At 37.9% G+C, this 22,986-nt stretch overlaps 1 protein-coding gene and 1 non-coding gene across 22 annotated transcripts in view; both read left to right on the forward strand.

Moving 5' to 3' along the window:
- The window catches only part of TENM3 (teneurin transmembrane protein 3), a 1,355,412-nt gene that overhangs the window by 710,955 nt on the left and 621,471 nt on the right, over positions 1-22,986 (forward strand). The window lies entirely within an intron of this gene.
- Positions 10,726-10,811, forward strand: MIR1305 (microRNA 1305). Its single transcript, NR_031640.1, has one exon. It is a non-coding gene; the product is annotated as a microRNA 1305 (primary transcript).

The raw sequence follows: 22,986 nt of genomic DNA on the forward strand, positions 1-22,986 counted from the left end.
CCTGCTTTAAAGCAGAAACCTAGGCTGCCGGCAGGTCTTCTGTACAGAATTACTCATGGCAGGGAGGGAACGGGTTAAGAGGCAGTAGCACTTAGGCCTATCCTTTGTCCTTGCCCATCCCTGTCTGCTTATCTCTCCATCTCTGCCTCCCAGAGTCAATACAAGGCTCTTGACCCCCTTAATACACCTATTGTTTGGAGCGGAACTGCAGTGGCCAGCTATAACTAAAGTATATTGGGATGTTTTTGCTAGCATTTGAATGTTGCCTGAATACCGATACTAAATTCTCTAAGAAAGGAGAGTCTAATGTTAAATGTGATACATTGGAATAAGTCTTAACCATTATGTTAAAATAATAAAAAGATCAATAAAATTCCCCTAGCACACTGGTTTTCATTACTTTGTGGTGACCAAGTTGGGCTCCGAAATTAGAGAAGCCCTCAAATCCCATTCTATCACTTACGTGCTGTGTGATCTAGGGCAAAGCTGCCTCGTCTCTGACCCTTATTTCTTCATCTGAACATGGGGTTTGTAACGATGGCTGGTGGTGTTGCTGTTGCCAGGTGCCTGGCCCGGGGCCCCCACACAGCAGACATGGTGGAGATGGGGATGGCAGCAGTGTCTTCAGTTGTCGGAGTCATTGTCATCGGCACCTTATAATGAACGTCATGCTTACCATTATGGTTTTGTGGAGGGTGTTGGAATTGAATTTGGAGACTGAAGTTGAAGTCCATCTGTACCATGAAGTTGCTTTGGAAACCATGAAATTGAGATGTTAAACATACCCTCTTGTGGGGTGGCTGTGAAGATGAAATGAGCTAACACACAGGGAGGTCCTAGTGGAGCCAGGTGTGCAGTGAGCAATGGATAGTGTGTATGAGTGTGTGTGTGTGTGTGTGTGTGTGTGTGTGTGTGTGTATCAGGATGGTGCCACATGCTTTCCAGCCGTCAGAATGCTGGGAACAGGAGCTCTCATTTAGGGAAGAATGACCACAACGCAGTCACACAGCTCCTGCGCTGTATTTGGCCTGTCACCTAGAATCTTACTTTTAATTAATGAATAATTCTTAGCAGCATGGATCCCTGGCTTGCCAAGTTACCCATTAGAAGCGCTCAGCTCAAGGGGAACGGGAGCTGAGAGGCTGTTCCAGTCCGGCCCGTGGATGGCCGGAGAAGTGACAGTGTGTGATGTCTTATCCGGGAGCAGCGACACGATAGCATTAGCGTAGTGGACGCTCATACTGACGGTCCACAGTTGCTTCAGAGGGCAATGTGTGTGATGCATGTTCCAAAATTTATATGAAAAAGACGGAAAGATTTTTGACATTTCGAGAGAGAGAAAATTTACTTAGACACATCTCCTAGTGATGCCAGATAACAGGGATGCTTTGTGGGAAAAACAAATCTACCTATACAGGGACAGCATTCTAAGTATATTCCGGTTCTTTTTTTTGAGACGGAGTCTCGCTCTGTCGCCCAGGCTGGAGTGCAGCGGTGCGATCTCGGCTCACTGCAAGCTCCGCTTCCCGGGTTCACGCCATTCTCCTGCCTCAGCCTCCCGAGTAGCTGGGACTACAGGCGCCCGCCACCACGCCTGGCTAATTTTATGTATTTTTAGTAGAGACGGGGTTTCACCGTGTTAGCCAGGATGGTCTCGATCTCCTGACCTCGTGATCCGCCCGCCTCGGCCTCCCAAAGTGCTGGGATTACAGGCGTGAGCCACCGCGCCCGCCTATTCCGGTTCTTTTTTTAAAAAAATGAAAATAAATGGTTACCTTTTTCCACATTACGGTTAGAATGACCTAACGAGAATATTCTATTTAAAGATTTAGAGATTCCAGAAAAATGTCTATGGAAATGTTGTGCCCAAATTTTACAATGTAAATTTACCATGTATTGATTTATTGAGTAGAAAAAATTACAAGACAAACTTGAATATGGTAAAATTATTTCTGTTCCATTCACAGAATTACTTAGCATTTGAATCTATCTTGTTTGTTTCTTTTAAAAATGTATCATGCAGAGAGACCAATACCGTAGGATCTCGCTCACATGTGAAATCTAAAAAAGTCGAAATCATGGAAGAGTAGAATGGTGGTTACCAGAGGCTGGGATGGGACATGGGGAAGGGGAGACGTTGGTCAAAGGGTACAGTTTCATTTAGATGTGGGAATGAGCTCTGGTGACCTATTGCACAGCAAGGTGACTGTAATAATAAGCTATTGTATATTTCAAAAGAGCTATAAGAGAGGAGTTTAAATGTTCTCACCACAAAGAAATGATAAATATTTGAAGTGAGGGAAATGCTAACTAGCCTGATACATCCTTCCGTAATGTATACATGTGGATTGAGAAATTACATTGTACCCCATAGATATATACACTTGTCAATTAAAAATATAATCTAAAAATATTAAAAATATATGATGCAGGCCAGGCGTGGTGGCTCGTCTGTAATCCCAGCATTTTGGGAGGCTGAGGTGGGTGGATCACTTGGGGTCAGGAGTTGGAGACCAGCCTGGCCAACGTGGTGAAACCCCGTCTCTAGTAAAAATACAAAAATTAGCGGCCGGGCGCGGTGGCTCACGCCTGTAATCCCAGCACTTTGGGAGGCCGAGGCGGGCGGATCACGAGGTCAGGAGATCGAGACCATCCTGGCTAACACGGTGAAACCCCGTCTCTACTAAAAATACAAAAAATTAGCCGGGCGTGGTGGCGGGCGCCTGTAGTCCCAGCTACTCGGGAGGCTGAGGCAGGAGAATGGCGTGAACCCGGGAGGCGAAGCTTGCAGTGAGCCGAGATCGCGCCACTGCACTCCAGCCTGGGCGACAGAGCGAGACTCCGTCTCAAAAAAAAAAAAAAAAAAAAAATTAGCTGGGCGTGGTGGCGCACACCTGTAATCCCAACTACTCGGGATGCTGAGGCACAAGAATTGCTTGAACCTGGGAGGTGGAGGTTGCAATGAGCCGAGATCACGCCACTGCACTCCAGCCTGGGCAACAGAGTTGAGGCTCAGTCCAAATATATATATACATATATATATATGTATATATATATACAAATATATATATGTATATATATATATACACACACACAAATATATATATGTATATATATACACAAATATATATGTATATATATACATATATATGTGTATATATATATACACAAATATATGTGTATATATATACATATATATGTGTATATATATATACACAAATATATGTATATATATACACATATATATGTATATATATACACATATATATGTGTATATATACACAAATATATATGTGTATATATGTGTATATATATACACACATATATGTGTATATATACACACACATGTATGTGTATATATATACACATATATATATTTGTGTGTGTGTGTGTATATATATATATATATATATATATATATATATATATGATGCAAACATACATCCACTAATGTATTAGTCGGTTCAATGGATTTCTTTCTTTTTTAAAACAAACAAACAAAATCAATGTCTTGCTATGTTGTGCAGGCTGTCCTCAAACTCATGGGCTCAAGCAGTCCTCCTGCCTCAGTCTCTTGAGTTGCTGGGATTACAGGCAAGCTACCACACCTGGCGAATTTCTTAATATTTTGCTGAAAGCAAATTTTAAACATTTGTCTTTGAAATGTTAGTTGGCTCCAGTGAAAATAAGTCCTTTTTGTTTTTCAGCTCTAATGTGTTCAGTTATCATTTATTAAACACCTATTTTGAGCCCAACATTGGCTTAGGCTCTGTGAAGAAAGGGGTACAAAAATAGAAGAAGACATCTATTTTAGAAGCTCCAAAGAAATGTGTAATAATTAGACAAACTAACACTGTGAGCTAGGATTAAGTCTGAAGATGTGGAATACAAACTGTGCACTCGGAACTCAAGGAAGAGAGAGGAATGTATAGGGTGGGGTTTGTTCCAGTGCCATCTCAACCTCATCATTTCCAAGTTGGTATTCTGAACACTCTCTTAGCCTGTTCATGCTGCTGTAACAAGACACCTGAGACTAGACAGTTTATAGACAATAGAAATTTATTTTTCAGTTTGGAGGCTGGGAAGTCCAAGATCAAGGTGCTGGCAGACTCAGTGTTCCAGCACCTTGCTCTGCTTCTGAGATGTTGCCTCAAATACTGCATCCTCCAGAGGAGACAAGCTCTGTGTCCTCATGTTGCACAAAGGATGGAAGTGCAAAAAGGGCTTAGCTAGTCCCTCCTGCTCTTTTATGACACTAATTCCATCCATGAGAGCAGAGCCTTCGCGGCCTAATTCCCGTCGAAAGGCCCCTCTTCATACTGTTGCACTGGAGATTAACTTTCAATATGAACTTCGGAGGGACACAAATAATCAAAGCATAGCAGTCACTCTTCTCTCAGGCCTGAGGAGCAAAGCTGCCCCTTCTCCTGTATTTGTACATTATCCCATTATCCTGTTTGTTCACACATGCTGGAAGCTTAAGAGCCATCTTCAAGACGGCTCCATCCCTCACTACCTGTACTAATCAGTCATTACGTCCTGCTCATTCTTATTTCAGAGTTTCTGGTCCTTGCCCCTCCTTTCCATCCTCACTGGCAGTTTCCTCTCTAGGGCTCTCATCCCTCATCTTAATTGCACAGAATGTCTTCTAACTGGGCCTCCTGCCACCCGTCTTTCGTCTCTCCAATCCATTTTTCTAGATTGCCCCTGGAGAGTTTGCCTCCTAAAATCCTGAACCGATCTTGTCACGAAGAAGCCCAAACTCAGCATGGAAGCCGAGATCCATACCTCCTGATCTGGCCAGGCCCCTTCCAGCCCCGCCTCCCATCTCTTAGGTACAGTGTGCCTCACACAAGGGGATTTAGTTAGCATTTCCAAGCACGAGGCGAGTCTTCCCACTTTCTGTGTCAGGTTAAACATTCTCTGTGAAATTGTCCTTGATTTGCTCAGTAGAATTAGGTACTCATCTCCCTCTCTCTTTCTGCCCCCATGCTGCTATAGTGTTTCTACATCTATTTAGCATTTACCTCATGCTGCACTTTTAGTTTATTAGAATTCAAGGGTTCTAGGAGTAGGAAGGAATTTAGAGATCATACAGGCAGAGCCTCTTATTGTAAATGTGGCACAACTGAGGATAAACGTGTAGCCCTCCCAGAGTCTACTTTTCAGTTGTCCTTGAGTTTGATCTCAGCATCATTGCCCAAGAAGAGCTTGATTTCCTTTGCTCTGTGACATCTCAGCAACTGCCTCTCTACTTTCTTGGTATCTGTCCTCTTCTAGTTGGTCTGCAAATACTAGGGTTCCTCAGAAACAAGCCCTTAGACCCTCTGCCTTCACACTGTATCCACTGTCCCAGCTCTTGCAATGTCATAGATTCCCATGGCTTCAGTGTTCACTCATAAACAGGCAGTTCACAAATATTCCACTCAAAACTTCTAGCTCCAGATATGAGTATCCAGGGGGACCTTCTAACCTATCATCCAAACAGGGACCCTGTGAGAGTGACAGTGAGCACCAAATCACCAAATGACAGGATGCCAGGACAACTAGCATTAACTGGAGCATCCAGAGCCAGCAGGCACCTTCGGTCATCCTGGTATACTGAACCATTTCACGTATGCTCTTGCATGTCTCAGGCTCCCAAAACTAACATGGATCTGAATCCATAATCTTTTCCTGCAAACCTCATCTTTCCTGGGTGGCCCACATTCAGTACAGGAAAGGAACTGTCCATCAAGTTACCAAGCCAGCAACCTTGAACTGGTCCTTGGTCCTTTCTTCACCTCAATCCCACTCATCACATTGTCTAGTTAATATTGCTTTCTAAGTATCTCAAAATCATCATGCTTCCATTTGTCTTCCACCCCTGCCATTCTAGTCCAAGCTCCCTTGGCATCTGGACTGGATTTGCACGGTGACTTCCATGTTGACTTAATTGACATTCTGTGGAGCTCCTCCTCCAACTCATTCTCCACACCTCAAATTGATCTTTTAAGAACGCAAAGAGGATCCTGTCATCCCTTGCTTAAAACAGTGCATAAAACATAATACATAATGGAAGACATGATATGTGTCTTTCTTTTCCACTTGATTGTCATGCCCCTAAAACCAGGGACCTTGTTTGTTTTGCTCCCTTTTGTTTAACTGGTTGCGTGACATAGCACCTCATACATAGTCCTGGATGAATATTTATTGGTTGAATGAGCAAATGAAAAAAAGTCCCAGGGTTCTAAAAACCTACTTCAGACCGCTAGTTCCAGAGTCTCTGGGTTCTTTTTTCCCTCAAGGATTTTAACCTCCTTGAAGGTAGAAGTTCTGCTGTTCTATCATTGAATATTTCATTCTTTCCCATTTTGGAAATGAGATACTCCTCTCTACTCTTTGTGTCTTCAGTACTTTTAACCATAGCTACATCTTAGAATCACCAGGGAGCTTGCAGAGAACACTAATGCCAGGATTTTGCCCCAAACTAATTAATTCAGAATCTCTAGACATAGGAAATAAGTTTTAAAAGCCTCCCTAGTGTTTGTAAGGCACAGTCAGGGTTGAGAAGCCACTGGTTTAAATCTGGTCATCCTTCAAGTCCCTTCTCAGGCATCATCTACTCCAGGGAAACTCAGATCCCTCATTTCTCCTCAGGACTTACTAGTAGGTAGTGAAGTGATTCTATGATCAATACTTATTTCATTATTTTCGGAGTTCCATTCCAGCTATGTTGTAAGGATGCATTAGGGCTGAGATTATGCATTATATTTAGGAATTTGCTGAGGACCAAAAAGTTACTTTATAATTTCCTTTTATTTGACCCATGTTCACTTCTCACTTTGGAAAGACTTCAGGTTGATAAGCAAGCTGACTTCTGATTTGTGGCTGCCTCTATGGTTTAACATCCTAGCAAATTTTTCTTACACGTTCCGTCGTGTTCCTGAGCTGCTAGAGAGCTATCTGAGTCAGCGGTTAACTGAGGCTTAGGCACACATAGTCATCAGCTGGGAGGAACAGGCTAAACAGATATCTCCTTGCACTACTTAGAAAACCAACTTTCCATCAGGAACTCTGGGACTTTTAGAAAATATGTATACAGCTTCCATGGGTCCCTTAAGTTATTCTGTTATTGCAGCATGCAGCACATTGGGTGGAAACCTAAAATGCACACTGAGTGACTCCCCTTTCACTCTTTTTTGGGGGGTGAAGCAGGGCAGGTGTAAAAGCAGTTTTTTGTTTTTTTGAGAGAGTCTCGCTCTGTCATCCAGGCTGGAGTGCAGTGGCGTGCTCTCGGCTCACTACAACCTCCATCTCCCAGGTTCAAGCGATTCTCCTGCCTCAGCTTCTCGACGAGTAGCTGGGATTACAGGCGTGTGCCACCACGCCAGTCTAATTTTTTGTCTTTTTAGTAGAGACGGGGTTTCACCGCATTAGCCAGGATGGTCTCGATCTCCTGACCTCATGATCTGCCCGCCTCGGCCTCCCAAAGTGCTGGGATTACAGGCGTGAGCCACCGCACCCGGCCTGTAAAAGCAGTTTTTTAAAATGTGCGTTTATGTATGTTGACCCAGGTTACTCCGTTGTCCCGTTGGTAAAGACTACCAAATTTAATGTGGCTGTTTCGTAAAGATACCTTCTCAGAGACATCGTCAAAGAGCATGCTTTAAAACTCTGTTCAGGCACATTTGCAGCTTTCCATAGGAAACTATAAAGGCAGATAATGTCATAGCACCTTTTTCTAAAGCCATTCTTAGGGACTTCAGCATTGACGATATGATTGAGGGAAGAGCAGGGAGGAAAACAGTGTGTCTGGAGGGCCCCCTGGGCTTCTGCCATGAGATTGAAGCTTGGCACCTCAGTCATGGCCATTCTGCACAGGTAAATCTTAAAATTTCATCTTGAATTTTTCATGGCATCATCAACTGGTGTAGATTTGGGTATCATTTTGCAGCTGCCAAGCGGATCTTTGTGTCAGTTCACCCCAAACTACATCACATTTAGCAAAATTGCCCATAGTATGCAGGTAATATTTTGAGTAGTTTTATGATAGATTTTGACATTTATTTCTTTTCTTCTCTTTTCTTTTCTTTTTCTTTTGTGACAGAGTCTTGCTCTGTTGCCCAGGCTAGAGTGCAGTGGTGCGATCTGAGCTCACTGCAACCTCTGCCTCCCAGGTTAAAGCGATGCTCCTGCCTCAGCCTCCCGAGTAGCTGGAATTACAAGCAAGATTTTGACAGTATTTCTAATCAAATTCCTGCTGCCTTTATAAAAAATCCACATGTTTACTCTTGTGAAATTATTTGTTATAATTGTTAAACTCTTGGGTTTTTTTTTTAAAGACTTAGAATATCATAAAGGTATAAAGAGAAGAAGCAAGTTATGTTTAGAATTTTAGCTAAGTTGTTTTGTGGATGACATTCTGTGTTGGGTTTAAAATGAGATTATTGAAGTGGGCTACCTATAAGATAGAGTTAATCTAATGTGGGTTTTGGTGTGCTCTATGGTTAACTGTGGGTCTCAAAAAGTTAAGTGTACTTCAAGTGCAGTATTTATGTAAAACCACTAAGATAAGATCTTGCTGTGTAATCTTTGCTGGTGCTCAAGCTAACTGATTACAATGGCTGGCATTTTCACTGTTCTCACACTTACAAAAATAAAATCAGAAAGCTTGAGAGGATAGGGAAAGACATCTGGTGTACAAAATGAAGACATTTATCAAAAGGGATGCCTTTTTTCCTTTTAAAAACTGCAAAAGGTTTGTTTCATCTCATTAGGCTTAGAAGTATAAATTTTACATAATTAGTAGAAAGTTGAATGAATAACAGAAAGTTGGAATAAATATTTGCTCTTGTATTAAATACATATGAAATGCCTTGCTTTAGTATATTGATTATGCTAATTTATAGTCTAAATGTACAATTAGATTCAGGAGGCATAACAGGATGTAGAATTTGATAAAGAATACATTAAAGAAAAAGAATTCTTGTGTAGACCTGAGTCTTAAAAAAATTAAAAAATAACATTTAAATTTTCTTGTAGGCCTGGTGTGGTGGCTCACACCTATAATCTCAGCACTTTGGGAGGCCTAGGCTGGTGGATTGCTAGAGCCCAGAAATTTGAGACCAGCCTGGGCAACATGGTGAAACCCCGTCTCTACAAAATACAAAAAAAACATTAGCCGGGTGCAGGGGTGCATGCCTGTAGTCCCAGCTACTTGGGAGGCTGAGGAGTCTGAGGTGGGAGAATCACTTGAGCCCAGGAGGTGGAGGTGCAGTGAGCTGAGATCATGCCACTGTGCTCCAGCCTGGGTGACGGAGTCAGACCTTGTCTTAAATAAATAAATAAATAAGTAAATTCCCTTGTAGAACTATAATTGTTTTATGATACAGAATATTAATCACTGCATTAAATTTGGATATTATTATAACGATATTTAGTAAAAAGGACAAACTTGAATTTCTGTTCATCCCGTCACACCTCTCGATTAGAGCTAGGTGAGTTACATGTAGTTATAAACTAAAGGGACTAGACCCCAAAGCTATGTTCACTCTACTCTTCACTTTTAATCACATATATATTTTCTTTTCTTTTTTTTTTTTCGAGACAGGGTCTCACTGCAACACCCAGGCCGGAGTGCAGTGGTGCAATCACGGGTCACAGCAGCTTCCATCTCTGGGGCTCAAACAATTCTCCCACCTCAGCCTCCCGAGTAGCTGGGACTACAGGCATGTGCTACCACGCCTGGATAATTTTTCTATTTTTTATAGGGACTGGGTCTCACTATGTTGCCCAGGCTGATCTCAAACACCTGGGCTCAAGCAATCCTCTTGCCTTGGCCTCCAAAAGTGTTGGGATTACAGGCATGAGCCACCGTGCCCAGCCCACATATGTATTTTCTTCTCTCTGGGAAACTAGCCTTCGTTTTCTCCAATTATTGACTTATTTCTTTTTCACCCAGGCTTTGTGTTAAGCTCCTGGATCTCTATGAAACCGCTGCTGATACTTCTATTAGCTTCTGTTAAAAGAAATGAAAAACTTCACCTTACAGGTTTCTTTCAGCATCTCTAAAAGTCTCTGTTGTTAATATAGTATTGAGACTTATCCCCACCATAGTCATTTGCATAAAATTATTATACTGTATATAAAAGTTTAAGATGTAACTTTAAATGAACATGAATTATAGGTATGGATAATTGCATTAATTTTGGAAATTTGTGTTGAATTTTCTTCTCTAAGTGGATATCTCTTAGTGCTGCTCAACAGTTAGCCCATTTTATCTCTTCATTTATGTTGGCCATTTTTCATTTATATCTTCTGAAAAAAATTCATGTATATGTTCTGAAAAAATAACACACTGTATACAATTAATTGTATTTGCCCAATTTTTTAGAATATTTGTTTATATGTATACTTACAGGCTTAAAAAAATCATTCACATGGTCCAAAGTGACTGATGTTTAAAAGTGACAGCTATATGAGGGAAAACGTATATGGACAGATATATGTCATATAATCATGCCATACACACACACACACACACACACACACACACGTGGGTGTGAATGAATGCCATCTTCTAAGATCTGTACATTTGACCACTATTAATCTGTGGTTCTTGAAAATTAATGAGATTAATTCATAAACCAAGTGATTTTTGAAGCCTGCAGTCTGGCGAGTCAGGTTGGTTCTGTTCCTTTAGATAGCTTAACTGAGTACAAAATTTGGGGTATAGCATTTCAGAAGATCCTGCTGTTTCTACCATTAGTTTTGAATGTTTATTGTAAAGATACTTTTCAACTCTAATGGGAGAGACAGCAGGATTCTCCCAAAAATTCAAGTAAAAATCTGCACGAGGAAAAGAAGTCTCCTGAGATGGATTGAATTCTTCTGAAGAGAAAAATATATAATTTACTACCACCTAAAATATGAATGAAGATATATGTGAGGAGCTTTTTAGAGGAGAATTTATCTTATATTTATTATCAGAAAGTGCTGTGAATTTAAAATCTTTCTTTTGCCCAAGTCAAACAGAATTTCCAGTAATAATGAGAAACGTGTGACTCTTGACCATTTTGTTTACCAAATAATGTAGTGTGAGATATCTCTACTACAGTAATAACTTCCGGTGTAATTTACATTGGCGTTTGTTAACAGCAAAAGACCTCTCCTGTGGGGGTTAAGAATATTTAATCCTTTAAAGCTGACATATATAACATGTAGCTATGTCAGCTACAGCTGTTTCTAAACATCAGTAACAAAATTATAGACAGGTTTTGAAGCTTCTGTGGTGGGAATGAATACATCTGAGGATTCAACTTGCTGACAGTGTTTTTGTAATTTAATCTTACCATCTGGTAGAAAGTAAACATTTTTTATAAAATTAAAGTTTATAAAGTGAATCGCTTATAGTTTCCGATTGTTGTGAATGACAAATTTAAGTGTACTTTCATTGAAGAATGAATGGAGATTCTGCCACTGTTTTGAGATGCATACTAGATCGCAACTGATTTTGCCATTTGATCTTCATTGGTTCCTTGAACAGTAAACAAATTGGCACTTTCATGTCAGCTAAGGATTCTGTGTTTCATATGTCTTTCATTCCTTTAAGATAGCATACATGTTGTTACTTGTTTTGCACAGAAGAAACTAGGGCTTGGCAATTTGTATGTCGGTAATGTCAGATAAGTGATGTCACAAATAGAATGTACCTCTGAACTGAAAATAAATGATTTTTTCATTGCATTTCATACTTTCTTCTATAACGTAGTTATATTTGTATAATATGCATTTAGCTATTGTCTAAACTATTATGGTGTAATCCAGTGTATTTGCTTTGCAAGTAGCACCTTTCTTTCTCCTTAGAAGTTGGCAAATTAGCAGATTTGTGAAATTGACAAATTGGTTTACAAACCCTGCCAAATTCAAACTTTATAAATCTGATCTACGCCTTTTACTTGAAATAAATATACACGCTGATAGACTCTTGTGTTTATAGTTGTGCCCTGTGTTAAATTGAAAGCCTACACTCTATGATGATGTAATAAAATTTAATTAGTTGTAAGTCAGGTTTTGGTTAATGGTAATTAGTTTAGTGTATAATTATTACATCTAATAGCAATCTGAAGTCTGCAAGCATTTTGATCTTTTTCCAAGTAAAAAGAAAAAAAACCACAAAGCTCCTGTAAGATTTATAGCAGAAATTGCAATAATAAAATCACATTAGCTAATTTCATTAGATAAATCACAGAAAATGTTAAGTGGCAAAGTAAAATTTCAGTGATGATGTACATGTGTTATGTTGAGCTGGTACATAAAATATTTTTAAGTGAGTTTTTTTTCTTTTCAATTAAAACTATCTAATGCGACTTTTGATGCTTCTTACTATTTAAAATACATCATCGGTAGTTTTGCATGGCAAAATTAAATGTTATTCCCATAACAGCTATTGTAGAGTGATCATCAGGGTCAATACATGCTTTAAAAATCAAAGAAATTTTATTAATAAATTTGAAAAATACCTTTAATTCACTGAGTTCTGACCCATAAAATTTTTACAGGAAGTATTGCCTGCTTCCAACAGAATAAAAAGTAGCTTTCAGCTAACAAGGCAGTAACACAAAAATATATTAATACCACGTAAGTAAATGTACATGAGCTTTTAAATTAGTATGTTTAATAAATTAAAAAGCATAATGTCTCCCTGAGTTACTAGATACTGTTATATTTAATTAGTCTATGAGCCCAAGATTAAATCAGGGAGCTAGTCATATTATACTTTTGGCATTTTCCTACTTCTCCTTTCAATCCCTTTCCCTAATAGAAACCTCTTTCTGTTTTTTTCTTGTATGAGCCGAGTGTTGTCTCATTTCTGTTTTTAAAAATGTGTTTAGCAGCCTTTCTATTTTCCACAAATTTATTGTTTTGGTTTTTAGACAGGGTCTCACTCTGTTGCCCAGGCTGGAATGCAGTGGCACAATCATAGCTCTCTGTAACCTGGAACTCCTGGGCTCAAGCAATCCTCCTACCGCAGTCTCTCAGTCTCTTGGGTAGTTATTTTTAACTTAAAATTTATAACCCAGATAGATTGGTTGTAATGCACAACATAGTTCAGTGCCAAGTATGTTTTCCACACCAAAGACTATGGTTCTCATCATTCGAGTGCTTGATTTTAGAACATTCAGATAAAAAACAAAAGTTTAATAAATAGTGTGTTGTAAAAGTCTTACTAAAAGTGGCTAAGTTGATATCACAAGACTATTAAATAGTTTAAAATGAATTTTCATGGCTTAATAACTGATTTTTATAAACCGTGCTTAGGTTTACTACGAATATATAGAAAATATTTAAATTTTCTGTATCTTTGATTTTTTTTTTCTTCTTTATTGTACCTTATTAGGAAAGGGTCTGTTTTGACTTCAAAAGAGGTCTTATGTTATGATCATTTTCATTTGGCAAGGAGAAAGAAGTGATTTGATATAAAATATTCATGAGCTGACATAATTAAAAATATTAACCGAGACATCTAAATTGGCTTTTGTAGTACACCATTATAAATATTTAGCTCTCTGTGAAATGTCTGTCGTGTTGTACATGGGTTTTCCATAGGATATCATTTCAGTTTTTATAAATTTGAATTTGTATTTACTAACACATGTTAATCTGGCATTAACACTGGATGTGTATTTAAGAAGGGTATACTGCAGACCTAGTAAGTGCACAGTCAGGACTGTGTGGGGAGGGAAAGACTGCAAACAGTTGTCAGTCTTCAAAGTGAGATAAGACACGTCCATTAAAGTTTGCAATACAAAACAGTATCTAATTCGGTACCAAAGGAGATATTTCATGAAAGATGAAGTTGGTTTGCTGCTTTAGGCTCTTTCTGAGTAGCTACCATGTATCCTTTGTTTAGTACTCAACCTTAGAAATTTGACTTCATTCGTTCCCTGGCTGTGATAAGATTTTGTGAACCAAATGCACAAGATACTATTTAAGAAATCAGTCTTCTAAATTGTGTTGGAGAATAACCCTATACTCAAAATGTTTTTATTGATTATTTTGGCCACTGGCAATCAAGGCATCTGAAAAACCGAGAAACTATAATCATAAAGTTACTGGCTGAATTTAAAATTATTTATTCATACTTTCAGAAAGTTACCAATCGAGTCCTACTATATGCAAAGACCATGTTAAAAATAATGAGAAACAGAATATCTTGGTGGATATGTTTCTGCCACCCAGAAACATTTACCAGGGTGGTAAAGATCTTGTATTAAAATATACAGAGTTTAGTTTCAAAGTAATAGTAGTGAATATCTTGGTGAATCCTTACTGCAATATTAGGAAATGGATATGCCCAATGCAGAGTAAATTTAACAGTTCTTTCTTACATACCAACATGAATAAACATGAGCAGTTGACTTGACTTTGTGACCACATGAATATGGCTACGTGAATGGACAGGAAGAATCCCATGAAGATTACTAGATTTTATCCTGGATTCTGAGAATAAATGTTAAAAACAAAAAGCTATTTATTCCCAATCTCACTGTCTTAATGAACTTTTATGTTTCTGTCAAATGGGAGTGGAGAATGACAAGTAATCTTAAAATATTTATGGAGTCAACAAATGTTTATGATGTGCCACACACATAAGGGTTCAGCACCTAAGAGGCAGCACTTGGACACCTACAGCTCGGAAGTGATCAAGACAGACCTTGGCTCCCACCTTCATGCATCTAAGATGACAATGCAATGTCAGAGTGAACATTCAGTAGGACTTGAAGATTTGTGACAAGAGTTCAGGGAAAACACATCAGAATTTTTGGTGATGTGCATTTAGTAGGAAGTTGTGGTTAAACCTTGAGAATAAATTTGTCCCTGGAAAGAGATAAAAGAACAAGGACTTAAGGACTAAAATTTGAGTAAAGCTTTCAATTAGGAACCAATAAAAAGATGAGGAATGGGAGTGGAAGCCATGGTTATGGAGTTTGGAAAAGTATCAAGGTCAGGTGCACGGATATAATCCTATGTGGCCAGGAAGTTTCAAAATAGGAAGACCGACAGCCTATACCGAAGGCTGTGAAGAATGAAGTTTGGAGGAGAGCCTTTATACTTGATTAGGAGGAAATGGGTATCATCTGCCCGTGAACTTGACACTGGGGTTGGAAATGAGTCCTGAGATATGGGAAATAGAGAAAAATCACATATACAGCTTGTTACGTAAATCCAGCAGCGAAAGGAAGGTGACAACTTCACACATGGAGTATCTCCAGGAGGTTTAAAGATAATGTGGATAAATGTTGAGACCAATTTTTCTTGTATGTAAGTTCTCTATAGCTATGTCTGGAGTATGGATGATTTTTATGTAATATATTATAAATCTTGACTTTTGGATTGCTTCTTTGGTGGTACAAAATAGAAAAAAATGCTATTTTGTATTAATATGCTTTAGTCACTTTCTTGTAAGCCATAAAACATTTAAAAAGCAGACTTTATGCAAATTGATAACTAAAAAATTGTTTTACACAGAAATTAAGATTAATTTACTTAAACACTGTGCTCTACATTTATCTTTATCTTGATGTTTATCTTGATGACCAAATTATGTCATCGCGGGAAATTTCTCTTTATCCATTAACTAAATACATTTGGATACTAAGGGTAGTGTCTCTAAGAGTAAGAATTATTTCTTAAATTAATATATTCATGAAAATTCAAACAAACATAGATCATCTATTAGAAATGTAATTTATATACAGCATTAACTCGGAACTGATTCTTTGTTTTTCCTCATTCTTCTGGGATTCTTGAAACACAAATCTAAATGTATGTGGCTGCAAAAAAAAAAAAAAAGCTCTGGATAGCTGCCTACTTTTGTAGGCACTCTTTTTGTGTTTTTTTTTTTCTCTTCTTCTGATTTCATCTAAGGAAAGCTTCCTTAGCTACTAATTCACACACACACACACACACACACACACACAAACACACACTTTAACAGGGAGGTTATGCCCCTTAAGCTCACCTGAATGACCCACAATATTGGAAACAGTTAAATACTTGGGGTCAGATAGAGCCCCACCAGGGAGGTGGAGGCAGTTGAATGCGTATTAGAAAATCAAGAAAATAATTGAAACTGGAGAACTCTAGTCCATTAATCTGGAGATTCCTTGTATAACCAATGAGCTTTAATATCCAATTTAATGAAAGATGCTTATTTCACTTTCCAGAGCAGAAAAATTAATTGGTAGCTATAATTTAAGTTTGGTCTCCTTTCTAATTGAAAGAATGTCTAAAGGGAAGGGAAAAACATTTTTATTTCACTCATTTTCATTTTTTAATTCCTTTTTTAAAGAAAAGTTTTATTACAAGTATTGATATTTTCATTATTTCAACTGAAATATTTGTTACATATTATCTCTAGGAAAAAAAATCCTTTAAAGGCTGCAAACAGTGTAATGAACTTGCAATCTGTTCTCTGGGTTTGCAGGTGTGAGGATTAAATACGTCCAGGCACATAACAACATTTCAGAAAATGCATTTTGAGGCTGATAACATGATCATAATATATTTTGTCTTTTCACTGTGTCAGAAATTAATTTTCTTAGTGGCTCCTTGCAACCTATGATTTTTTTAAAGAGATTTTTATTGGCAGCTGGCCAAGCCTTGATGTTCTGTTGAATGAGTGATACTGAACACTTGAGATGAGTCTCCTTTTTACCTTTGTTACCTCAGGCCTCTGCTCTGCTTCATTAAAAAAAAAAAAATATATATATATATATATATACACACAAGTATTTGCAAACCATAAAAAGTCTATATGCTAGTGAATGCACAGAGATGTTTTGCAAGCTGTTTTTTCAGTGGTATTCTTTTCATTTATCCACTGCGTAATTCTAAAGGTAAGATTCCTCAGGGTGCTTGTACAGAAGTGCTACCAGAATGAAGGGGCAGACCCATAGGAGCGTGGCCTACTTAAAACATCTGAAAATAACTAAGAGGCGACCCTCCTGCTTTTTCCCCTGCCAAGGAGATACCGACAGCACAGGACAGGTTTTGACTGTCTTATTGTCAGTTTCTTCCCCTGGTATAAGGCCAGATGATGCTGGAATGATGTGTCTATTGAAGTTGATTGCCACTGTAAGGCTTAGCCAAGTTTGTCTTCATGAGGGCAGTGTAGGAAGAACCAGTGTAATTGGTTTGCTGAACCCCTAAATTTGAAAAGTAGCTTGGTTAACCATCTCCATAGAAAGCCAACACGCTTTTGCATGTCGTGTGCACGTGGGTGCATGCGGAACACTGGGATGATGGCTCAGTGGCTCTGAGAGTAGAGGCTTTTCGATACAATTGGAATGACACCCCCGCCCCCCACCCTGCCGCCGCTGCACATTGCAGTACGGTAGCTCCGGCCATTTAGTGTTGCAGGTGGATGACTCATTTGATCAACATTAACTATGCCTTGAACAATATTTTCGTTAGTAATGTTTTTAGTTATCGTTTATAGTTTAGTTAATGATTTCGTTAGTGAGTTAGGTCTTGTGGACAGGATAAATACCATTCTTTAAGGTCACATACTGTTAGACTTGTATCACACAGAAAAGACACAATGAGTGTAGGGCCTCGTCTATAGAAGGCGTGTAATAAATGATGTTCAGAGAATGAATGAATATATAAATGGCACATTTGAGGGGCGGAGTAGCATACTGGTTAAGAGCGTGGGCTTCAAAATGAACTAGCAGTGTTTGAATTACAGCTTCACCACCGTGTGTCTTTTGGCAGATTACCTCCTCTGTGTGATTCAGTGTCACTGTGTTTAAAAAGGAGATGATAATGTTGCTTACCTCATAGATTTGTAATGAGGCTTACAGAGTTTACATATGTAAACATGTTGAAATCGTACCTGGTACATAACACTCAAGATGTGTTCATTATTATTACTGTTATTATAGAAATTGAAACATAGAATATTTTTTGGTTTGAAAATGAATATTCTTTCAGAATGACAAATTTTAAAATAAACTCGTAATTATTTGTTAAAACAGTCACCAACATTTACATAATGTTTTAGTTAGCAGAACTCTTTTTACATATAAATTTTTAAAATTTGGTATACTTTTTTTTCTTTTTTTGTTTTTTTGAGACGGAGTCTCACTCTGTCACCCAGGCTAGAGTGCAGTGGCGTGATCTCGGCTCACTGCAACCTCCTAGGTTCAAGCGATTCTCCAGCCTTAGCCTCCTGAGTAGCTGGGACTACTAAATTAGCATCCGGCTAATTTTTTTTTTTTTTTTTTTTTTTTTTGATTTTTAGTAGAGATGAGGTTTCACCATGTTGGCCAGGCTGGTCTCGAATTCCTGACCTCAGGTGATCTGCCTGCCTTGGCCTCCCAAAATGCTGGAATTACAGGCATGAGCCACCTGTACCCAGTCAGTGTACTGTTTTATTCATGACCTAGGAGATGGACAGGACAGACATTCAAATTTTAGAGATGATAGTGGAAGCTACTTTGAGGAAAAGGTGACCCATGAAAATCAATTATGAATGAGATGAGCCTGTAAGCACCCACATGGGGACCCGCACGGAGCAGAAGCCGCTGTGCTCTGGTGCTCAGGTGGTGCTTAATAACGGCTTCTTGTTCCCCTTTGTCTTGCACGAGGTGTTACCATCTGCATTGCCAGATTCAGACACCAAGACCCAATGATACATTTCATTATTTTTAATGTGTGATCACCCCACAATTGCGCCAGATGAAGTAGCCCCAAACACTTTCACTTTCTCAATCTAAAAAATATCTTACACATTCTTCTGCCCGGCTGCATTGGAGTTCCTGCTTAGCATCAGTACACAGAGCCACTCAGAGGAGCATGTCCCCGGGCCCTGGCTCTACCCGCTGCCCTTGGTCTTCAGCCAGCCTGATGCTCCTGATTCACTGTTTTGGGGCATTTCTGCTATGGAACCACCCTGAAAATTATCAAATTAGGCAATTACAAATGATCTTTGATTCATTATTGAAATGAAAAAAAATTTATTTAAAATGGGGACATATTTGGCATACATATATATATATATTTTTTTTTTTTTTGCTCTACCCTCAAAACTACTTAAGTGATGTTGCTTGTTGAAAGGTTTTTTTGTTTTACTTATTTAAATTGTTTATTTTTCATAGAGACAGGGTTTCACCATGTTGTCCAGGCTGGTCTTGAACTCCTGGGCTCAAGTGATCTGCCTACCTTATCCTCCCAAAGTACTGGGATTACAACCATGAGCCACTGTGTCCTGCTCTTATTGAAAGTTTTGAAATTCAGATGAGACAACATTTAAATGATTCCTGAGAAGTCAAGGGATTTAATCTATGGGCAAAAGACGAAAAGTCATAAACTTTTGTCCAATATTTTATATGTTTTGGTTTTTGTTTTTTTTTTTTTTTTTGCTTTAAGAGTTAGCTCCTGTTAAAGCACTCTTCCAAAGTGTTGTATGTATGCAGGATGTATGCATCTTCCTAATAGATTATCAGCAACCCCCTAGCCCCTGCAGGATTGGTATTTTGTAATTATGTTTCATCCTACAAAATAGAGCACCCTATTTAATACATATCAGCTATTAAATACGTGATCGAATTGCCCATCTATAACTCAAACTTCTATGCCTTTAATAACACCAAATGTCTTCAGGATTTGTGGTGGCTGAGAACATTCAGATAACTAAATGGCCCACTTTATTCTTTTAGATAGATGGCGTCAATTTCTACTGCCTCACCAAAAAATTATGTAGCCCAGGGATAGAACTTTCCTAATAAATTTTACAACCAGTTCCTGAGAGGCCAGTGAAAGATCATTACCTTCACAACACTGTTGCTCTTCTCTGTGGCTTTTGTAGTGATTCAAACAATGTGACAGTAGCTAACCCCCATGGACAAGTTTAATAGAATTAAAGAAATATGAACCTACAAACACACGTACTAACACTGCGTAGAATCTGTGTCTTGCATGTTCAGGGATTCTCTTGTTTTAGGTCGTGTAATTTCTCATAATATGTGTATTGTTTCCCTTCTAAATTTAATAACAGTAATTTTGTTAGCTGTGGAATATTTAAGCTAAATGGTTTGAAAAAATTAAGTCAAACTCCTTACATAATTGTTTCTTAAAAAAATAAAACAACTCCATCATCATTTTCCTACAGTGTGTTTGAAGCTTCTAACTTTCTCCAGACATTTAAAATGACTCTGTATTTTACCCTGGGACAATGTAAGCATTCTAAAGTGTTTTCTAGTTAATGTTTGTATATCAGCTTCTTAAACAGGTGATGCAGTTATGAAACTTCACCTGTATACATCTGTAAATTTTCTGTTCCAGATATTTAAAAGCAGAAGTCAATATTGGAATGAAGGAAATGTACCAGAGTGTATATTTTAGAGTAATAAGTGAAATCTGCTGTTTTCAACGAATTCCTTTTTTAAATTTTAATTCCTAAGTATTTGCTGACTGAAGAACAGTATAGTGCCTTTAAGGTGAGAATTTTTGTATTAAATAACTAAAATAAACCGTAAAAATTGCTGAGCAAAACATATCTAAATCTTGTATTTAAATTAGATTTCATTTCAAAATGCTTTTAAGGACCCCTTTTATTTATTCCCCTGGTGGTCTTTCAAAAGCCAGGTGTCTGGGATTGTCTCCAGCCTGCTCTAAAAGCACCCCAGGCTTTGGATTAGTACAAGAGAGCAGCTGCCTTTTATTCAGCAGTGCCCATTTACATAATGCCTGTTCATTTAAACTCACTTGGAACCTATGGCCAGGATGAACCCACACCAGAGTGAGTCAGCAGTGCATGGTCTTGTTTTTGCATTGAATTAATTTTAAAACATCCCTCTCTTCCACAGCTGGAATGAAAGACAGTACTGTAGAGGCATTTCTCGATTCAACTGCTATATCCTTAAAGGCAATTTAAGAATCACTGTTGCATACTTTATCACAATATATAATAGAACTAAAATTTTTAAAAAGCAGTGTATCTATTATTAAACATTTCATTCTTACAAAATAGACTATGGTAGTTTATAGAAGAGAACAACAAAATGTACTGAAAACCTCAAAGTAATCTCTGCTCTGAAACTGTCATTTCCCTCTCACGGAACACATTTACTTAATCCTTTGATTCAACTTTCAAGTTCAAAAAGCATTTTTGTGTGTGTATTTGTGAAACAGGAAGTTTTTCAGTGTTGTTTTTGTCTTCTAAATATTGTTTATGTTTGAAATATAAGTCAAATTTAATATTATGGTATAAGATGCTTCTTTAATTTTAAACTTTTATATTAGTTTAGAATATGTATGTGGCTTAGTCAGAAAACCCTCACCTTTGTCATTTTTTCAGACCTCATATTCAGATCCATTTTTGTGTTCTTCTCCCAGGAGATTAGGTAGTCTCTATGGGCTTTGTACTAAGGGCAGGAATCCACTTCCCTAAGTTACAGCCTGCTTTATGTACTTACTTAAGTATTTGTGGGGCAGAAGTCTTTAATAGTTGGAATTGCACATGCACTAGAAATTTAAATAAAACCTACTTTCAGGGTAAAAAAAAAATCGAAGAGTTTTTTTTTTTTAAATCTGAATTTTGAATTAGTTTTCTTAACGTGAACTTTCCAAAATGCTGCTTTACAAAGTTTATTTTCATTCATAACATTTTAATGCTTGTTTTTCCTTGCTTTTCACCAAATGACTTGAACTGGAAAATGTTGATGTTTAGTTACATATTTATGGAGGACGATAATCTCACCCATGTGTCTGCATTACTTGCCTCTGTGTTTTTCCCCTAGTTAATATGATGTTTATCTGCTGTTACACTTTAGTTATCTTTTTGAAATCCTGCTTTGACATCTTTCTTTAGCATAAATTTATGCAGTGATTAAATCTTCCCATCTACCTTCATAGCATCTGGTGATGTTATATAGTAAAGAGAGTAGTATTTTTTTAATACTTCTTTAATTTAGATGAGTTTCATAAAGTCATTCTATATGAGTAAATGGCCAGGCTTTTTTAACTTTAATATATTCAGTTCACTATGCATGTAGAAATATAAATTAATTTTATTGTTTCTCTTTTTTTTTTTTTCTTTTTGTAGAGACAGGGTCTCACTATGTTGCCCAGGCTGGTCTTGAACTCCTGGGCTCAAGTGATCCTGCCACCTGGGCCTCCCAAAGTACTGGGATTACAGGCATAAGCTATGGCTCCTGGCCTATTGTCCTTCTTGATAGTAGTCATTTTTTTTCAGAAGTACCTGTAGTAGAAACTACATTAACTTTAATTTCTTTCATTAAAACAATTTCATTGCTCTTCCTCTTCACAAATCACATCAATTTATTAATTTTTATTTTGTTTTATTTTATTACATAAATATATATACATATTTCTGGCTGTCACCTGACTGAAGAAGAATTCTTCACTTGATCACAGCCAAAAGGCTGAGAAATGATAAGAATTCTTGGTGATTTTTTTTTTAATTTACTAGAGATAACCTAGTTTTTCTTATCTACATGGACATATGAGCCTGCTTTGTGGTGTTAAAACAAATCAAAACGCAGCAACCAACTAATAAAACAGTAAGAATGAAACACCTTTCTTAGGAGTGACCATCAGGCATTCCGTATACATAACTAATCAGGACTGTTTCATTTCTCCCTTTGCTGTTCCCCCTGAACCTTGAACCTAACAATAAGAAATAATAGAAAACCAAAGCTCTGTTATGGCTTACTAAACTAACACCCTTAAAAGGCATTTGACTGTGACTGAGTATGAATGAGAACGGTCCCCAAATCTTCTGCTGAAAGAGGGGGCCCTCCCGTGGGAGGCTTTAGTTGTTTTCCTCTTTTTAATCTGCGGGAGCCGCGGAGCTCAGCTTCTTAACAAAACCAGTATTAGTGAGGAGATCAAAACCAAACACCTAATATGCTCAGTATTTGACCACCTTTTTATAAAGTTAATCAAACCTGTTAAGAAAAATGTAAAGTAGCAGAA

Source organism: Homo sapiens, chromosome 4, assembly GCF_000001405.40.
Source record: "Homo sapiens chromosome 4, GRCh38.p14 Primary Assembly".
Lineage (NCBI taxonomy): Eukaryota > Metazoa > Chordata > Mammalia > Primates > Hominidae > Homo > Homo sapiens.